This window comes from Homo sapiens, chromosome 3, assembly GCF_000001405.40.
Source record: "Homo sapiens chromosome 3, GRCh38.p14 Primary Assembly".
NCBI lineage: Eukaryota > Metazoa > Chordata > Mammalia > Primates > Hominidae > Homo > Homo sapiens.
Genome location: NC_000003.12, coordinates 108,988,575 through 109,010,078, shown reverse-complemented (window position 1 = coordinate 109,010,078; position 21,504 = coordinate 108,988,575). Strand labels below are relative to the sequence as shown.

The window sequence follows — 21,504 nt, the reverse complement described above, 5'->3', positions numbered from 1 at the left end:
TCTAGCCTTTTACAGAAAAAGTTTGCTGTCCCCTGGTATAGAAGATAAAAGTAAAAAGCAAATAAAATAATAGAAATTAGGAAAGAATTGCTTACAATTAGTTACACAGAAAATGATCATGAATGATAGCAGTAAGAAGGAGACACAATATTTGAACAATTTGAATACCCAGGGAAAACAGAGTAATGGAAGAACACATTTTTAAAGGTATAAATCAGGCACACTTTTCAGGAAAACGGTAAAACTTGAAGCTACGTGTTTGAAATGGTATGCTCCACAATAGGGAAAAACTGTCCCCAGAATAGTCAACAGTAAGACATATATTATAATAAAATTACTCCACTGTAAAAAAAAAATATAGATTCCTTTGACCAAGAGGTATAAACATCAAGTCACCTATAGGGACAAAACAGTTCACTTTGGCTTCAAACTTCTCTAAAAAAAATCAGCTTCAGGTGATGAAGTAAAAACTGTAAGATCCTCATGGAAAGGAAGTGTAAACCAAGACTTTTATATTCACCAAATTACTCTTCACATAAAAAGCCTACAGCTAAATAGATTTAAAAGTAGGAAAGGGCCAGGCGTGGTGGCTCACGCCTGTAATCCCAGCACTTTGGGAGGCTGAGGTGGGCGGATCATGAGGTCAAGAGATGGAGACCATCCTGGCCAACATGGTGAAACCCTGTCTCTACTAAAAATACAAAAATTAGCTGGGCGTGGTGGCATGCGCCTGTAGTCCCAGCTACTTGGGAGGCTGAGGCAGGAGGATCACTCGAACCCAGGAGGTGGAGGTTGCGGTGAGCAGAGATTGCGCCACTGCACTCCAGCCTGGTGACAGAGCAAGACTCTGTCTCAAAAAAAAAAAAAAAAACAACAAAAAACGTAAAAATAGGAAAGAACTCAGGAAATATTCTCATGGTCTCTTTTTGAGGAAACTACTAGGGATCAAACTTCAACCAGCAAGAGATGTCTGAAAATTCTACATCAAAGGACTGAATGTAAGCATTGACTGTATTTAATTAAAGCAAAAAGCCTAAAACAAATGTGACATTAGACACCAAACTGAATGTAAATACCCTGGCAATGTAAAAATAATTCGGCTAACCAAAAAGGAAAGTCAAGGGTGATAGAAGGGGAAAAGTAGTTTGACGTTTGCCTCAACTGTAATAGGAGACCAAGAGGTGTCATTTATTTGATTTTAGCATACTTCTTAGTACTAAGGTAAACACTGAGAAGGATCATACTGTTGATAAATATCAGGGGAAGAAAACGGGGAAGAAAAAATAAACAAATTTTGCCACTGTTCAGAGTAGGAAATACATAGATCCTGTCTAAAGACAGAGAAAGCTAAAAATATTATATATAGTTATCATCATAATGGAGGTCACCAGAAAAAAAGAAAATACAATGTATCATTAAAAACTTAAATTATAAAAGTAAAGGATAAAATAAAATGATTGAACTAATGTCAAACATGTATATGACATCAATAAAGCAATAATTACAAGTGATACATGAAAAAAGAGACAATCATACTAGTAATAGGAAACTTTAACTTACTCTCAGCTCAGGGATACCTAAACAATCAATAATAATAATAGCAATATACATATAATTATATATATATATATACTCTGCACTCTCAAAATAGAGTATGTAAGTATGTATTTCTCTTCAAGTACCCTTGGAATAATCGTATATACTAGGCCTATATGCTAGGCCACCAAAAAGCCTGGTGGAGAAATTTAGCAGTGTCTATCCAAATTATAAATGCATGTACCTGTTGACCCAGAAATGTCACTTTTGGAAATTGATTATATGGACATATTCACCCAAATGTGAAATTACCTATTTACAAGGTTGTTTGTATAGTAAAAGATTGAGAAGATCCAAATGTCTGTCAATAGACCTGGTTAAATACACTTTTTTACAACAATACACTGGAATATAATACAGCTGTAAAAGAATAAGAAGCTCTTTATACACTAAAGAGAAAAACCTCTAGGATATATCCTTCGATGAAAAGGCACGATTCAACAATTCAGACCATGTGTATAATATGCTACCATATTTCCCTACCACAAAAAGTGGGAAAAATTTGTATATATATGTATACACACACACACACACACACACATATATATGTGCTTATATATGCTATATAAACACATCTCCAGAAAGATTAAGCGAGACAGTGGTATCAGTGGTCACATATTAATGGAATATGAATTAGACAAGTGGAGAATGAAGTAGTAAAGAGGCTTCATTTTAATATACTTCTAAACATGTGTTGTCATATGTGACTATATTACCTCCATAAACATGTGAAGAGAAACAATGCCATGACGGCATAGAAGATAAAGCAATTAGTTCTCCCTTGGGGAATTGGAGGAGACCTTCAGGATAGATAATTTAACTGAGACTTGAAGGGTGAGTGGAATTTGACAAATGGACAAGGTTGGGAAAGTCATTTCAGGCCAAAGTATGGAAACATGAAAATAAGCCTGAGGAATAGTAAATGTGATTGGGCATTGAGTGCGTTAAGGACACAGTCGAGGCCAGTTTACCCTCAAGAGTCCATTGAAGCTGACACCTAGAGCTCTGAACTAGATAGTGCTACTGCCTAAGGTCAGAATTCCTTCCAGACCCTGTACTCTGTAGGTGGGGAACAGAGTCTTGAGAGAAAAGAGACAAGGGCTGTGGAGGCTGGAAACGAGACCCAGTTCAACAGAGCAGTGCCTTGTTCATAACACATTTGATCCATAATGCTTCAACAAACCATTGGATTTTCTTGCACTGTCTTGTCACTACTAATCAGAACATTACTACAGGATATCTAAACTTAAATGCACTCCTTGAACAATTATTCATGAGGGTTTGCTATCTTGACCCTTCTTTAAGAAATGGAGAATGCTGAATTATTACCCTATGCCAGTTGAAGCTTATTTTTACTTACATTTGCCTTAATGGTTTGCTTTCCCATAAAGCCTCAATTTATACCAGTGGACGAAATCACTGTCACTTCCACCTGCCTAACTTCAGCACATAAGGTGAGTAATTAATATAGGATTAAGCAATTTGTGTCATGTTTTAACCATGTGAAGGAGAAGCCTTATCAAGGGCCAACTGTCATCATGGTTTATGAGGTTCACATAGTGAAGCACTAGTAGATTTTAACTGCCATTTTATTCTTGTTAGAGTAATACATGTTTATTAGGGATAAGTTAGAAAGTAAAATATAAATAAAATTTAAATCACCCATTATCTTACTTCCTGCACATAAAAACCTTTTTAAATAATGTATTTCTTTCCAATACTTTCTAGGGATATATACATATATATTTTTTGTCTATGGATGTGAATTTGCCTAGAAATATGTTGTATATATAGTTCCTATATCATTTCTTGTGTTTGCTAAATGTCATGTTACGTTATATTCCTCAAATGTCTGTTCTTATGTAGAATTTAAAATTTAGAGAGGAACATTTTTGAGCCTTTAGTTAGAGCTTCTCAGTTATATCAGTCACACACAAAAATATGGAACTCTTTATAATTTTAATTATTCACATTTCTTAACAGGCAGACGATGGGATTTATAAACTCAGACAACCTTTAAATAAATAGATTTCTGATATACATAATGTATTTTGTATCTTTGGCATTTCTTTACTATTCACTTTAAATATTGGAACAGTTGTTTCCATGCTATCTTCTTAGTTTGTGTTTGTGTTTTTTAAATTTGCACCTTCTGCTAGTATATCAAGGAATCAGAGACCAATGAACCCAGAAATAAGTTGGAGCTGGTATAGTCTTATAATCCAACTCCCTCCTTTTATAGTAATTTATCTAAGATCACCACATACCTGAATTGCAGAACCAGACTTAGAACCTACCCGTTTTGTAATAAATTATCACCAGAGTCTGAGAGCAAGATGAAGAAAGGGATTCTTCTGGAGTGGAGAGCAGTAAAAATCACCTGCAAGTAATTTGCCATGGGAAATAGATTGTAACATGTCATCGTAAGTCCTCTGTAATAATAACATTGTCTCATGCCTTGAGATTTGACTTAGCCATGAACAAACTAGTATACACAACTGTATCATAACTTTACAAAATGTTGGTGGTTTATGTGAAGGAAAATGAGAGCTAAAGAGTTTCGTTGAGCCCTCAGCACTGTTGCGGAGAGGGTTACTTGACTAGTGGACACTAATACTATGGAGGATAATGATATGCTTAGGATAACTAGAGTGTCACTTGGTGGTCTGCCCTCAACTCCTGTCCTTCTAATAGTTATTTTTGGTTTCTTACAAAAGAGAGTAGGCTCTAACAAGCAGGCACATGTATTCTAGATCTCTTAGCAAATACATCTTTCATTGGCTGCAGTAGCAGCTAGCAAGGGGCAGGAAGCAGGATGTGAATGTGGGTAGGGATGACGACCAGCCTTGTTTGCAGCGGGGAGCCAAAGGCAAGCGAACCTCTATTGGGGGAAAGTCAGAATGCACAGTATGTTCTCAATTGCTGGGCTTTTTATTCCTCAAAATCAGATTTCTTGACCCAGCACAACTTTGCAGCTATTTATGAATCAAATTCTTAATGAGCCATTGTGGCATTATACATTATTAAAGTTGTTTCTAAGCTTCTGATTTAAAAACTTTTTAGTAGTAATAAGAAATACCTATTATAATGAGGTTATGAGAGAAGTGGTGATTAATTATAAATAGGCTATCTACCAAAAAATAAAAACATGTTCTTTGTTATTTAAGGAAAATACCAAAACCCAGAAAATCAGGCTTTTGGGCGATGACTTGAAGCATGAATCTCTTTCATCCTTTGAGCTTTCAGCGAGCCGTAGAGGACAGAAAAGAAACATAGAAGAGACAGACTCTGATGTAGAGTATATTTCAGAAACAAAAATTATGAAAAAGTCTATGGAGGAGAAAATGAACTCTCAACAGCAGAGAATTCCAGTAGCTCTGCCAGAAAATGTCAAACTAGCTGAGAGATCCCAGGTATTATTATTGTTTCTTATTCACAAAACAATTCACTCATTCTGGAAATAGCATTCAGTCAAGGTTTTGCTTCATTTTCACATTTTAAGACACTTTAATTATAAAATATACATTGCAATCTGTGTTTCCTGGACAAGGTCCCAATTTCTAATTTTTTTTTCTGTATTCTCTGTTTTGAAAGAGAAGTCAGATTGCTAATATTACCACTGTCTGGAGAGCTCAACCAACTGAAGGGTGCCTGAAGAATGCCCAGGTGGGAAAAGGCTTTTAAATTTGTATTTAAGGGAGAAATATTCATATAGGATAAACCTTTAATCTTTAAGTTTTGCATTCAATGCTTTATAGGAAAAATGCTTAACTAAATCATACATATTGTTACCCTGTAATCAAGGTTCTGAAAAAACTGGGATATAATGTTAATGTATTACTAAGTGTTGAGAGTCATGTTAACAAATGCACAACTCTAGAATTTTCATGTGTCCAAATGAGTTTACTTCTTTGAAAAGAATCACAACACATTTATTCTTACAGAGTTGCCATTATTTAATTCTTTTTTTTTGAGAATTTGCCCTCAGATTCAGCTTATAACAATATTAATGCCTACAATTGAATGGGCATTTACCCTGTGCTAGGTGCAGTGCTGAATGATTATAGACATCATCTCAATAACTTTCATTTTATATCTTCTTAAGCCAAAATTTACTGCCTAGTTTATCTACCTTGTCCATCACATTTGACTTCTAATGCCCTTTTACTATTTCCACAAATTAAATTCGACCTTAAAGAGTCGATATTGTTCACCATAGAAAATATTCAAATGAACTGCTATAGGCTCTGAAAGCCATAAACTTATTTAATTAGCAAATATCTGCTGAGTTCTGCCCAGTGTAAGACAGTGGGTAGTCATGGTGGGAGTGTAGTCATGGAGGGAGGCAAGATATTTTATGCATGGTCTTTTCAAAAGGAATTATTCTTATTCTTATTCTTATTCTTATTTTTTTTGAGACGAAGTCTCGCTCTGTCGCCCAGGCTGGAGTGCAGTGGCGTGATCTCAGCTCACTGCAAGCTTCAAAAGGAATTATTTTGAATAGTAGTTACATTATAGAAATCTCTCACACATTCCTTTATAATATATTCGGCAAATGGTATACAGACTCTCTGAAAATCTTTAGTAAAAATCCTTACCTCCTAAGGCAGCCTTTCCTTAATACCATTTTTGGGCTGCTCATCCTCTTAAAGTATTTCAAGTCCATTTTCCTATGATTTTGAAATTTTTGCCCAAATCTTTTCTTGAGACTATATGAGCCAAGCTGAATCTGTTTACAACCTACAGAATTTCAGGTTTTTTGTTGATTTGAATTATGTATTGTACTTGAATGTAAAGTTTTATATATTCAGATATTCAACCCTTGCTGTGTTCGAACTCCTGCATGTTATCACTTTATAATCATATCTCTTTTAACTTGGAATTCCAGAAAAACTCATTAGCTGTGCAGTTTCAAGATTTAGGATTTGTCAGTTTATTGTATAGATATGTTGCATGCTCTAAAAACATACAGTCCATTGAGAAGTTGGGAGTGTGTCCAAGTATTAGAGCAAAACATTTTAGACATTAAATACAGGGACTCAGTATGCATGCGTGTGTGTGTGTGTGTGTGTGTGTGTGTGTGTGTGTGTGCATACACATATAATATGTAAAGCTATGTGAAGCAATATACACACACTTCATGTAGATATATATACACATATATGTATACATATACCAATGTAAACATAGATGTGTCTGTGTGTGTATATATATATATATGTATAATTTTACTGTGTGCCATTCAGTATGCCAGTCACAGGAGATTTGCTAATAAAACCACATATGGTTTTTGCCACCATCAAACTTACAGTCTAGTGATAGAGACAGACACCCAATAATTACAGAGACAAACGTCAACTGCTACTATGGCAGTTTTTATGACACAGTAGCATGACTGTTTATAATAAGGGTTTTTGACTCTGATAGGACAGGAACATCTTCCCAGAAAATATGGTAACTAGCCTTTTAGGATTGAAATGTAATTACATTGGTAGAAGGGGAGGAAAAGCACTTCTAAGCAATGAGAACAGCATTTGCTAAAGAGGGAATATGGTGAATACAAAGAACTTTAAAAAGACAAGTAATCTATGGCAGGGAAAAGAGATGGAAATGGACTGTGGTGTGAAGGAGTAGGGCAGGTACTATAGGCCAGTCATAAGGGGTTTTGCATTTATCCTATAAGTAATGGGAAACCATTGAAGAGTTTCAAGCAGGGAAGTGACATGACCAGAGTTTTCTTTAGTAAAGATTGCTTTGGCCGAGTATAGAAGAAAGGTTAGTAGAGAGCAGAGTTGTTGGGAAAGACAGTCTCAGGGGTATAGCCTTTTAGCCTCCACTTTGATGCATAAAGATGGACCTTGAGCCTGGGACTCTTTCTTACCGAGAGATAAAGAGCACACATGGCCTATGCTGGGTTTTTTGCCTTGTGCAGAAATATCTTTCTCTGTTGCAAGCCCAGTGTATGCTCTTCTATACTGCTTAAATGCGTGTGTCACATGAAACCTTGGTCAACCCCACTGCTATATCTGTCTTCCTTGGGGAGGGAACACAGCATCTGTCTCCTGTAGCATGAGAAGGGTGCATGTAGCCAATTGCCCAACATTGGCTGATGGAGGAGGCTGCTGGGCCATGGGGGACTGATACACACTTCTGAGGCTGATCTTGCTTTATCTCTTCTCTATGTGAGTAAAGCATTGTTCCATCTAGTGCCTGACTGCGTTGTGTTTTCTTTGGCAACTCCAATAACCAAGATACTATAGGCAGAAGTTATGAGACTCCTCCTCTGGAACTGATAACCAGTACATGGTATTTCTGTTTCACAGATAATGCTTAACAAAAGTGAATGTGGGCAGAGCAGTTAGGAGACTTGACCATGCTCTGATGGAGAGATCACAGTGGTGTAGGCTAGGATGATGGTGATGGAGGAGGTAACTCTGCCCTTTCCTGGAGGCAGTCTTTATTGGATATAGAGGATCATGTAGAGGAAAATGGCAGAATGACTACAGAATTTTGAGTTCTTTCACCAGGTTGAATGGTGATTCCATTAATTGAAATTGGGAATTGTAGAAGGTGACTGGGCTTGTGGAGAACAGCATGAGTTCAGCTTACATAATTTGAGGCTTCCAAGAGGATGTGCCAAGAGAAAAGTCATATACATGAGTCTGGATTTCAGAGGTGAGGTTTAAATAGGAGACAGTCTTGTGAGGTATTTACATACCTAAGGATGAGTGAGGTTGAATGGGTAAGAAGAAAAGAAGGACTAGACAGAAGCTTGAGGAATTTTAGCATTTTGTGGCTAGCTACGAGAGTATAGATGTGCACAGAGATTGTGAAGGAATTGCCAGAGCAGTAAGAGAAGAAACCAGGAATTTATTATTTCATTAAAGCCAAAATGGGGGAAAAGGGTGATTTGAAGAGAGACTGTCACGAAGGCTAAATTCTGTTGAGAAGCCAACTCAACTGGCCAAAGGCCTAAAAATTGTCTGTTGGCTTAATGATTTAGAGGTAAGAGGGATGATCTCAGGAGTATTTTTGTTGTTGGAGTAGAAAGGGTAGAAACAAGATTATAGATTCGTGCAAAAGTAATTGCTGTTTTTGCCATTAAAAGTAATGAATTTACTGCTAAGTGGAAGATGAAGAAATGGTGACAGATTGTATATCAGCTCTTAGAAAGATAAGCTAATTTCCCAGGCGTGGTGGTGGGCACCTGTAATCTCAGCTGTTCTAGAGACTGAGGTAGGATAATTGCTTGAAACTGGAAGGTGGAGGTTGCAGTGAGCCAAGATCACACCACTGCACTCCAGCCTGGGTGAAAGAGCGAAACTCCATCTCAAAAAAAATAAAAATAAAAAGAAAGATAAGCTAATTTCACTCCAGAAGACATTATATCTTTAAGAAAATCTAGAAAACCCAATTTTCTCCTGGATAAATCAGGAGATTGTGAAATTCTTTATAAGCACTTGAAAAATGAATTTAATCAGATTTTAAACTGTAATTGAAACAACATTTGATTACTCGAAGATTACTTGTAGTAAATTTCTAATATCCTGTCCAATAAACACACTAGGCATTACCACTAACAGAGAAGGTGCAGGAAATATAATTAATTTTAATATTAACCTAAGCAGCATGGCATTAGGAAGGCAGATATGCTCTAAGTCTTATCAAGCGCTTATCATACACAAAGATCGGAAATTGAATTTTCGCTATATATCCTACAAAAGTCTGCAGTAAGTAGAGGCAGAATGAAGAGTGAAGGTAGTTTAGTATGTACCATTGATTGCCACTAATCCTTGTATTTTTTTTGTTAATTCCTTGTTATAGGCCGCTTCTTGGGAAATGAAAAGGAAGCAGAGTCTGAACTTTGTAGAGGAATGTAAGGTATTGACTGAAGATGAGAACACGAGTGATTCAGATATAATCCTGGTGAGATAAACTATACACTAAATGACACCTTGAGATTTTCATATTCACAAAGATTAGAGGGATCTGTTAGTGTCTCAAAGTAGTGGAAACATTTAGTTGGAAAACCTAGTTTTGAGATGAAGAAATAAGACTCAGAAAAGTTTAAGTTACTTGCTCAAGGCTACATAAACTAGTAGGGATATATCTGGAACTTACACATCTCCACCCCTAGTCCACGGCACCTTTCTGTTTTAGTTATCTGGGTAAGAAAGCCTTAATATATATGTAAATAGGCAAAAATATACAAAAGTTATATATATAACTTGAAGGTCATTGTGAAAACTCATTCCCAAATCCGAAGAATATGAACCTTTCTGTAATTTGTAATTTGGACTCTCACCAGAAGGTTTAATTCTGAATTGACTTAAATTAGGCAGAGAAAAGTGTATTCAAGGATTATTGGCATGCTCCCCATTTTCTCCTTTAAATAATATGTTCGTATTTCTAACTTGATAGTTGATATCAAAGAATACATATCTGGGCTTCTGTAGAATCGAGTTGCTTTGCCTTCACTGAACCAAGTGTAAAAAGCCCTTGGTGTTTAGGAGGAAATGATTCAAGGACTGACTATATAAGAAATGCTTCATCTGTGAAGCCATGGTGTTCATTATGTTATATAGTGTCCTTTCTGTTAAAAAAAACTCACTAAAAGTAATTTACACATTAGAATTTAATGTCAGGGAAAAATCTATTTGGTATTTTCTTTTATCTGAATATAAATTTTATTACTCATTATAGTTTCATTTTTACCTTGATTGCCAAGAAGCTTATAGCTAAACTTTAACCCGCGTAAGAGTAACTACAGTAGCCTAGGTGGTTCTATTATTGACATGATAAGTGAGAGTATTTAGAAAAGGACCTGGCCTCTTTGGACGTGTCTTTAGGGTAAGGTCCCTCAAAATGCTATATAGATTTGTGGATTAGGTTTAAATTGCACTTGTGCCAATGAGAGACATATCATTTCTTCTGACTTTAGCTTAACTTATGATAATGTCCTTCACCAGAAAGTTATTGTCACAAGGTACCTGATGTAACTATAATGAAAGTTTTATTTAAAAATTTTTTCATTTTGGAAAATTTTAAACATAGTGCAACCAACTCCTGTGTGCCCATTTCCCAGCTCCAGTGTTTACCAACTTGTGGCCAGCCTTGTTTCATCCATATTCCCTCCCTGCCCCCATTATTCCCAGACATCATATGATTTCATGCATAAATTGTAATTATTTGAAGTAGCCCTTTGAAGGGATGTTAAAAAGGTGCAGACATAATTTGTGAATGGGAACAGAAATAGCCTCACTATTAACAATAAAGAACAACTAAATGAAAAAAGTAAACACCAAAGTATTTTCAAAAGGAAAAGGGTCAAAATTTAATCGGAGGCTAGAAAGAAAGACAAAACTGCAACTGGTGTTGTAAATAATGCCGCCTCTCTTGACCTCTTCAAAGCAAAATGTAATATAATTGTACCTGTGAATATTACTGTTCACCACTTGCTTTTCAGAAGTTTCAAAGTCTGTGTGAGTTTTTCATGGAGCCCTTACTTTGTCACCTCTCTCAGCTTTGCACACAGCTTTTGGCAAGTGCCTTTTCAGGAATTAGAGATGATGTTTATATTTAAAATATTGTCTTTTTAGGTAATAGTTCTCAAGTTCTTACATTACTTGTGTGTAGCTATGTGGTATGATTTATTAGTGTCTCTGTGATCCTAGCAGGATGTCTGTTTTCATACTCATGGTGTCTAATTAACTTGGATAAACACGTATTATCCAGAGATGCACATTAATTTCTGTTTGGCTGTAGTTGCAATAATTCAAGTAGGAAATAATTGCTCCTCAAAGTTGTCTGTCTGTACTTTCTTAAACCTAGAAATTAAAAAAAGATCATCCCATCCCCCGTGCTCCTTCCTAATTATCTTCTAATTATAGCATGTGTCTGTGTGCACGTGTGAGTGTATGTGCCCCTGTGTCTATTAAATTTCAAGAAGGAAGGCACTCAGTGCTAATGGTGGTGCAGGAGGTTGTCACTTAAGGAAGAATAATTAGCTACCACAAAAGACTCCCTCCCCTGACCCCCAAAGGTGGTATTTATTATTTTGGCAAGTTTACTGGTTGTGGGACCTAGGGTCTTATTTTTAGGTGTAAGAAACTAAGAAATATGGTATATTCAGCACACCAAAGAAACTTCATCTCACGGGGATGACTTCACATTATCCAAATTCATGAAACTGTGGTATTATAGCATAACATCAGTTCAGTCATTTAAAAGATAAATACAGCTTCAGTTCAACTGGAAGGCACATATTGACTTAAGCTATGCGTTCTGTCCCGTTATGCCCATCTGCATGGGCTGGCCAATTATAATCTGACAGTTGCTGGTGAGCTAGGTGCCTGAATATTTAAAAGGCGTCCAGCTAAGACAGCCTGCTGTGTCCACCTCCCCAAGAGACATGACAGAGATGATGTTACCAATGCAACTATAATACTAAAAGAGCACTGACTCAGCGAACCTTTGCCCTATGCCTACCTGTGCTCCTATAACTGTACTTTTTTTCAGGCTTTCGGGACAATAACTCCATTCTGACTGGCAGATTTGTTTTTGCTATGTTAATAAAATCAATAAATGTCTATCAGTCTGCCTTTTGAAAGGATTTTTTTTTCCATATTAAGGCACTTTATTTTTCTCTGTTCCATGTTTCAGGCAACATCTCACTCTGGTTCTTGTACTAATAGTTATGCAATTTCTAGTGAAATGAAAAAAAAAGTATTTGTTACTTTCCAGATTCATATTTAACCCTACCATTGCTGATTATTTTAGCCATCTGATCATTCATTCTCCAAAATTACCTCACTGCTGTAGCTCACTGTTATGTTTTATTTATTTTCCTAACTTCCCTCCCTACCCCCACTGAGTCCCTCAATTCTTGATTGAATGCTCTTATTGTTTTTATTCTAAGGCCTGTGGTCTGTTGAAGCAATTTTTTATTTTTTTATTTTACCTTTTAAATTTTTTTGAGACAGAGTCTCCCTGTGTCACCCAGGCTGGAGTGCAGTGGCACAATCTCCACTCACTGTAAGCGATTCTCTTGCCTCAGCCTCCCGAGTAGCTGGAATTACATGCACCACCACATCCAGCTAATTTTTGTATTTTTAATAGAGACAGGGTTTTTCCATCTTGGCAAGGCTGGCCCAAACTCCTGGCCTCAAGTGATCCACCCACCTTGGCCTCCCAAAGTGGTGGGATTACAGGCATGAGCCCCATGCCCAGCCTTGTTGAAGCAATTTTTAAAAACCACATTCTTCTTGTTTCCTCTTTTCCCAGTGGGACAATCCTTATTTTCTGATCATTTCTAATGTCTGGCATTTCGTTCTGCACCATGCCTCCCATTTAACATGCTCCAAGTCATTCATGTGGTGTGGAGCTTCATTTGTCCCATCTCTAGTTACTTCTGCTCATATTCTTTGTTGGTATTGCTTCCACAGCATTTTTTTTTTTTTTTTTTTTTTTTTTTGAGACAGAGTCTCGCTCTGTCACCCAGGCTAGAGTGCAGTGGCGCGATCTTGGCTCACTGCAAGCTCTGCCTCCCAGGTTCACGCCATTCTCCTGCCTCAGCCTCACGAGTAACTGGGACTACAGGCACCCGCCACCATGCCCGGCTAATTTTTTTTATTTTTAGTAGACACAGGGTTTCTCCATGTTAGCCAGGATGGTCTCCATCTCCTCAACTCATGATCCGCCCGCCTCAGCCTCCCAGAGTGCTGGGATTACAGGCATGAGCCACTACTCCCGGCCGCATTTTTTGTTTTTGATATTAGTTTGTGCTTGGCCTTTTAGCCAGTGTGAACCATTCATTTTCAAAGTCCATGCAATGAGCATGTTCTTGGCAAGACCTTGCACATCATTTGGAGCTGTAGAAGTTTCCAACTGGGATTTGGTTAAAGCTCCAGGCATTTTCTGGAGATTAAAAAACTGCCAGGAAAATAATGAGGAGTTTTTCTTTACAAAATCTTAATCCTTTTCCAAATGCTCTAGATAGCCTCTCAGTTGGACCTTCGGAGATATTTGGTATGGGACTCTGCATTTCAGCAAACTTCTTATTTTTCATAATCTTGTTAGCACAGCTACAGCTCCCTCCACCATTTTAGGGTAACTAGGGTGGTTCATATTTATTATCTCTGACCCTATAAAGCTGAATTGTCCAGAAATTCTAGTTGTGTGTGTGTGTGTGTGTGTGCGCGCGCGCGCACGCACGCGCACATGTGCACAGGCATGTGTATTGTGGTAGCGTCAGGCTTTTCTCTTTCTGTGTGGCCATGATGAAATTCAGGTACTGTTCTTCCATCATCTCATCTCACCTCTTCATAACCTGAGAGGCAAGTATTCTTTTCACCCCTATTTTACAGATGGGAAAAATTAAACTTGCTAAAGGTCACACTGCCAGGAAGTAGGCACCTTGAGCCCCAGCTGTTTGACTTTGCTCCTCCTTTTGTAATCACTCCCCATATGACATCTCCCTTTACCTCCCACCTTCATAACTGTCCCCTACATGAATTCAATCACCCCATTCCACTTGGGTCAGTTGAAGTACATAAATACACTTTACTCAGGCATGAGAGTTTCAAGGTCCACCGATATATGGCACTGGCTAACATTCAGCATTTTGGCTTGTGTTTCCAAAGTTTTTTAGATGGGCATCTCCAGCCAAGTGTCTTGAATCAATTTTAAAAGACCAATCCATCATCCATGCCTTGCCCAGCCTAAGCTCTCTTTAGCCCGTTTCCCTCCATATTCACCCTAAATCTGACCTAAACAATGTATTAATAGTTCTTTTCTTCTAAGACCCAGCTTTTGTCCTTCTAGTCAAGCTAGAGTCCAGTCATAGTCATGAGGCTCATCTTCTTGGGGTCTCCACTAATTCCTGGCTTCTAAAAAAAGAAAGTATTTTTCTTGTCCAAGATTATCACTCTAGTAATATGGTTGTGGTCATAACTTTACCACCAACCCCTTCCATGAGCTGTTGTTGCTTTACCTTTGGCCTCCAGAAAATCTTATTATTTTCTGTCTTCCATGCTCAAAACACATGTCCTGCCCTGTTTTTTAATGAATAGTGGGTATTCTGAAGTGTGTTCTGTCTCAGGCATTTCCAAACCCATGTGTAAAGTTCAAATTTGTCCCAGTTAATCCCGGATGGGAAGGAAGTGGAATTTTTTTTAAATCACACCTTTTATAGGTATGCTAGCCTTTGTCAGGAGGATCAGTGTCTGAGTAGATGTTGCTATAGTTCTGCTGTTATTGCAAGAACAGTGTCCTGTGGTACTGCTGTAATTAAGGGTTTGTTTAGATATAGTTACAAACTCCTGTGCACTGCTGTGTGATAAACTGGCAGTTCAACTTTACTCCAGGCAAACTCCATACCACCCTGGATCTGGGAATGGATCTGGTATTTTCCATGCCCCTCAAAAGTGATGCACTCTGATCAGGTGTTACTATACAATGCTTCATAAAAACGATAAAAGTACAAATGAAACAATGAGATTAGATAATCTTACATCCTATCAAAGAAGTAAACAGCTCATCCAAATTACATCACCAGGTGAGAGGTAAGAAGTAACCACACAGACTAAACATCCTAGGGGATCTATTCTGAAAGGTGACTGGGAAGAATAGGTTGGCAGACCACAATAGATGGCCAGGAAAGCAAATGATCAATTTGAAATGAGCCGCAAAACTGAGGAACACCAGGGGAATAAAATTACCGATGCCAGCAGTTGGAGAAGTTGAATAGCAATAATGTGCTGAGGCTCAAGACAGAGCGATAAAAGTACTGACTTTATTTAAAAAAAGGCATGTACATGCCTTTTTTTCATCTTGGAGGAACACACTCTCCAAACCGACATTGTAGAAATTTTCTAATTCTAACATGAAGCAACATATACCCTTCTCATAAATATTGGTGTTTGTTGTTTATTCATATTTTATAATAATAATCTTTCAGTTACTATTCTGAATGTTAGAGGCAAACCCAGATTTGCTAAGACATGAAAGAATCTGTATGGTGTGGTTATAGTAAGGTTAGAATAGACCTTCTATTTAATAACCAGGAACCATACAATTTTTTTTATTGACTGACTGGCCCTTTTGTCTCTGTGGTCATTTAGGTCTTCTTTTGGCTTGCAGCTGGCCTCAAGAGCAGACTGACAGAGGGATGTGTTTCATTTTCCCAATCTATAGACATTTTTAAGCACGTGATGGTCAGAACACTGCTGACAAAAGTATTTCAGGAGTTTGGCAATGAAACCTTGTATTTATTATGAAACATGTATCCTCTGGTGTCTAGAACAGAGCACTTTCTGAGGCTCAAGAAAGATACATAGCAATGAGTAGATGGAACCATCTTCCTGTCTCAGAACTGAGCCAAGTCATTTACCAGTTGTACCTGGTCAGCTCTTTGGGGAAGCTTTCAAAAGAGGCAGATTCCAGCTTAGAAAAAGCATCAGTGCACTCTGAATCCCTAAGATCATTACCAGGGCCTTCATGGTATGTTATAAAAACTGGAGAACATCTAGATGAGCTGATGAGTTGCTACCGTGTCTAGGTTTATGTTTTATGGTGGCCAAAACAAATGAAAAACAACTATAAGTACTGTGTTTGGCATCAGTACTACATGATAGCGAATCATAACAATGAGACTGAAAAGGTGACAAAGTAACCTAAAAGCAGATAAAAAAGAAAAACAAAAACTTGCAAAATTAGTCCCTAAATCAACTGCATTCACCCTAGATACACATCATTTTTCTGACTCCCAACAGAATGCCTTTTTAAAATAGAAAACTGTACAGGTAGTACAATAACATAATTTCAGATTACTGAAGTTGCCTTAATTTCAAAAGCGGGTGATTTCTCATCAGCTTTGATGATGCTACCATTCCTGGTTGATGATGCTACCATTACCTCTTTATGAATCTGTATAATGCTATGATCATTGCTAATAATACTAGACATTTCACGGGAAGCCCTCTTACAAAATGCAAACCAGAGCTGCCCTAAGGGCTTTGAAGGAAAGATCATCTATACTCATCCTCCACAGGATTGTTCATCAGTTCTCCAGCAAACGTACGGAGAGACACAAAAACAATGTGTGATATAGTCCCTGATCTAAGGAAAAACCTTGTGGATGACTTATAAGGAATCTAAATATTCAAGTGCTAAAGTCTGAACTACCAGCAACCACGAGCCAATTAATCAAAACAAATTTATTGAACAATACTATGTTAGACATTTTTGAGGGACACCAAAAAAGTCAAGTATCTGATTGTTGTGCTGAAGGAACAAAAAAATTGGTTAAGACAGTTTTACAACACCATGAGGTAGTATTATGTTATGGAAAGGATACAGGCTGTACACTCTGACAGGCTGACCCAGGCTCAAATTCAGACCTCCATGAGGTTTGTCAGTTGTGTCAAATTTTGATATTCTGTTTTCTTGTATATAAAACGAGAGTAATAATGCCATCTATTCTCAAGGTTGTTATGAGAATTATATTCATGATAGAATGAAAATAATTATTTGCATTATAAAAAGTATTTTTTAAAGCCACCTTCTGTAATTCTGAAGAAGACAAATTCAGCCTTTATTGGGTGAGCTAGGAGAATGAAAATTGACAAAGTAAAATTTCTTTGTGGAAAAAGAGAGCTTAAAGAGTGAGCTTATGTGGAAGATAGAAGAGGAGAGGGGCACTGCCAAAAGTGAAAATACCGGGAGCTGCAGAACTGGAGAAGCTGCAGGTGTGCAGAGAGAGATGAGGCAGTTAGCAGATGAAGAAGTTAAAATTATTTAGTTGATACAATTTTTTGCTACATGTAATCATTTCCTCCATTTTCCAATATAATCTTTAGTAAAATCTGTAAGTTTATCAAAGCTTTATAGAGTTGGATTTGTTTTTGGGAGATGGAGTCACGTTTTGAGTTTTGCTTAGAAGGATCAAGTAAGAATCCAAGGCTGCTGTAGGGTCCAGTCTTATCTGGGTCATATAGATAAAATGCTTGACTTGATGACAGTAGTAAGAGTAAATAAACTGTATGCAACTTACTGTTAATAGTTATTCAGAGGAAGGAAGAATATGTGCTGGAGTAATAACAAAAAAGATGTTTTGGAAAGAGTAGGATGTATACTTGTCTTTAAAAGTTGTGGATACAACTTTTAAGAAAGGAAGAGAAGAGAGAAGCCATTCCAGGTAGAACATTTACATGGCAGAGATGTGGAAGCAAGAGTGTGTATGGTAATTTTAGGGAACTCTGAAGAGAACATTTTGATTATAACAAGAGATATTTGTTAAGAAATACTAAAATTGTGTCTGGATAACTTAGAATCACATTGAAAAGAGCTTTGAAAGACAGATAAAGAGTTTGTGATTGAGATAGTAGCATGCAGGGCCTAGGGATGGTTTTAAGAAGGAACACTTAATCATGGATATTTTGTTTAAAAAAATTAATCAGATTGGGATAATGGCTTGGACTGTAAAAAGGAGAAACTAAAGACCAACAAAAACACGTAGGATGGATGCTTCCTGAAAATCGTAGTATAGAAAGACAAGAAAAACTTAAGCAATTTTAAAAGAAAGGTAGTACAGCTTGGTAAGAAATATGGAAAACTAAATAATGAAAGCAGTTCTGAGATGGCAATCTGGAACAAAAACAGTACTGTGAATAGAATGAAGAGCATTGATGGGGAATCTGACCAAGTGGTCAAAGATAGGACTGGATAGGACTGAGGATTTGAAGTTTCAGCAAGACATTCACGTGTGTCATGAGATCAGTTGGAAATAACTGGAGCAAAGGTGAAAAGTTAGGGTTGATGATGCCGATGAAGCCATTGTTTGCCTAAAGTGTGACAGCTTAACTCCAGAAATTTTAATAGGTTCCTTGAGAAGTTGAGAGTAGACAGAAAAAGGATGAACTACCCAGAGAGAGTTGAGACATAGAAGGCTATGAAGATCAAGAGAGGAAAGAATTCCAAGAAATATCTTCATGCTTCCTTAACTGAGTAAATGATACCACCATTCACTGCTACTCTGGCCAAAACCTGGGAATCATCCTGAATTTCTCTCCTCCTTTCTCATCCTGCACTCAACCCATCAGGCAATCTTGCTGAATCAACCTTTAAACATAGAACATATTCTACCACCTCCATAGCTACCACCTTGGCCAACACACTGACATCTCTTACCTGGACTACAGCGGTACTCCTATAAATCATCTTACTGTTTCTCTTGGCCTCTACAGTGTAAAAATCTGAGTATATCATCCAGAATATGTCATATTATGTCATTCTCCTACTCAGAACACTTCCATGGCTTCTGCTCATACTTAGAACAAAACTCAGTGACTTTGCTGTGGCCCTCAAGGCCCTAGATGTCCTGGCCTGATGTCTTTTGAGGCTACAGACCCCACTGCTCATTCCTTCTCTTAGTCTACTGTAGCCACCCTGACCATTGTTGGCCTCCAGTACCCTAAGGAATATTAAATAAATAAAAGTATAAATATGTAATATAATATCAGGTCATATAAATTCTGTGAAGAAAAATAATACAGTTGAGAGAGAGAGAGAGAGAGAGAGAGAGAGAAAGAGAGAAACATAAACCTAAGCCTTTTCCTTTGTCGTTCATATACCTGGACTCCACTACCCACACCACCCCCATCACCACTGTCAGCAGCACACATGTATTTTCATGACTTGATTTTTTTTTACTTTCTTTTATTCTGTGACTATCTTGAACATCAGTTACTGTCCTAAACAATAGGGATCCAGCAGGGGTAAAAACAGACGATCCTCCCTGCCTTTGCAGAGCTTCCATTCTAGTTGGGGGATCATTCAATAGACAAGATGAATAAGTAAATATGGTGTATGGTAGATAATGACAAGTATTAGGGAGAAAAAGAAAGCATGGGAAGGGAATAGGAAGTATCTGTGTTGCATGTGATGAACAGGAGTTGCAATTTTAGGTAGAGTGACCGCAGATGGCCCCACTGAGTGGATGCTTAGGAAAGACTAGGAAAAAGCTGGGGGAACAAACAAGTCTATAAAACAACAAGCCAAAGACGTGAGAGGAGTGTGCCTGGCATATTTGTAAAAGAGCTTCTGAAGAGCCAGATGGAGATGTGAGATGACGACAGAGAGGTGGGGGGGTCAGATTATGCAGGAACTTGCATCACTCTCTCTCACCTGTGTTATTTTTCTTCACAGAACTTCCATTACCTGACAGTATATTATTTATATTTTTATTTATTGAATGTAGAAAATGTGTTCCATAAAGGTAGGTATATTAGTCCATTTTCATACTGCTATGAAGAAATACCTGAGACTGGATAATTTATAAAGAAAGAGATTCCACATGGCTGGGGAGGCCTCCAATCGTGGTGGAAGGCAGAGGAGAAAAGGCATGTCTTACATGGCAGCAGGCAAGAGAGAATGTGTAGGGGAACTGCCCTTTATAAAACCATCAGATCTCATGAGACTTACTGTCACAAGAACAGCCAGGAAAAACCCGCCCCCATGACTCAATTACCTCCCACCAGGTCCCTCCCATGACAGGTGGGGATTATGGGAGCTACAATTCAAGATGAGATTTGGGTGGGGACACAGCCAAACCATATCAGCAGGACTTCGAACTTTTCGCCGTGGTAGTATCTGGCCCACACTAGAAACCCAATGTTAGTGAATAAATTACTGACTGAAGGGGAGGGCCTGGAACATAATGTTAACTGTGGACGAGTGCAAACAGAAGGGGTCTTTGAAGTTGGCAGAAAGGTATTTACTGGTCTTATAGTCCTTATGGCTCCTTCATAATAATAAGTGCTTGAAGTAGGTGTGGAGAGGTAAAGGAGTAGAAGTAAAGAAATCAGATAAAGTGATATCACTCAGTTTTTAAGTTTCCTTAACAGCAATGAAATTAAATAGGTGTTGCACAGCTGCCTGTGGCGTGTTCTTTTTTCCTCTGACTTATTTATGATTTATTTATCTTCTTAAGTAGATACTTTACAAAATTGAGCATGCAGTATTATGTTGATCCATCACATCCCTTGGAGAACTGACAAATCCCATCCTGCTCATTGTTAACATAATTTTAATTAAGATGTCTTAAACTCTATGTTAAGACTTAGCTATAATCTCATTTACTTTGTATGAGGTGTTGTCTATTTCATGATATAGGTAAAAATCTCAGGCAAGAGATTTCCTCCAGCTTCAGAATATGAGACACAGTTAAGCCTAAGTGACTGAAGAACATTTCTATAAGGAAACCAATTAATGTAAATGAAAGACCTTTGTAAGTAAGATCAAATATACAAATAACATAATCGAAAAAACAACTGTCTGTTTTCTTGTCTCATCTTGAAAAAATTCAGACCCTCAACTATATTGTAATAGAAGGCAGCATCCTATAAAATCAGATTTACACAATGTTATTTCAAAGAAAATACTGTAGGCTTTAAATCATTTATCCAAAAATCTTTTAAACATCAGAATAAAGATAATACAGCAAAGGAAAATAAAAGAAATTTTTCATGTTATAGAGATGGCAGAGCTTTGTACAAGTAACATTTTTGGGGAAAGAAGGCATATCTGATCCTAGGAAAAACAGCCCTTTAGAGCTCAAAGCAGAGAACTAAACAATAGAATACAAACATAATTAATTTCGTGAGGCTGTATTAATAAAACCAACAACAAAATTTCTCTTCTGGGAGTGCTGTCATTTTCATTAACCTTGGATACTTTCATCTTGTTTGATTTCATCATAAAAGAAAGTTACCAAAGAAAATTAACACATTTTGTTATAATCATCATGGATTATAACAAAGTGCTTATAGGAAAAGACATTAAATAGTTCCTCTCATAAGCTTATCTTGTGGTTCCTATTAGCTGTTGTTGATAATAGTCTATGCTGCTTAT

At 37.3% G+C, this 21,504-nt stretch overlaps 1 protein-coding gene across 11 annotated transcripts in view; it reads left to right on the top strand.

The window, feature by feature from the left end:
* The window catches only part of MORC1 (MORC family CW-type zinc finger 1), a 159,887-nt gene that overhangs the window by 108,056 nt on the left and 30,327 nt on the right, over positions 1 to 21,504 (top strand). For all 11 annotated transcript variants that reach the window (NM_014429.4, XM_005247362.3, XM_047447968.1 and 8 more), the window contains 4 exons: positions 2,988 to 3,050; positions 4,764 to 5,009; positions 5,191 to 5,262; positions 9,421 to 9,522. In NM_014429.4, coding sequence (NP_055244.3) covers positions 2,988 to 3,050; positions 4,764 to 5,009; positions 5,191 to 5,262; positions 9,421 to 9,522 — 483 coding nt within the window. The remainder of the gene's footprint in view (positions 1 to 2,987; positions 3,051 to 4,763; positions 5,010 to 5,190; positions 5,263 to 9,420; positions 9,523 to 21,504) is intronic.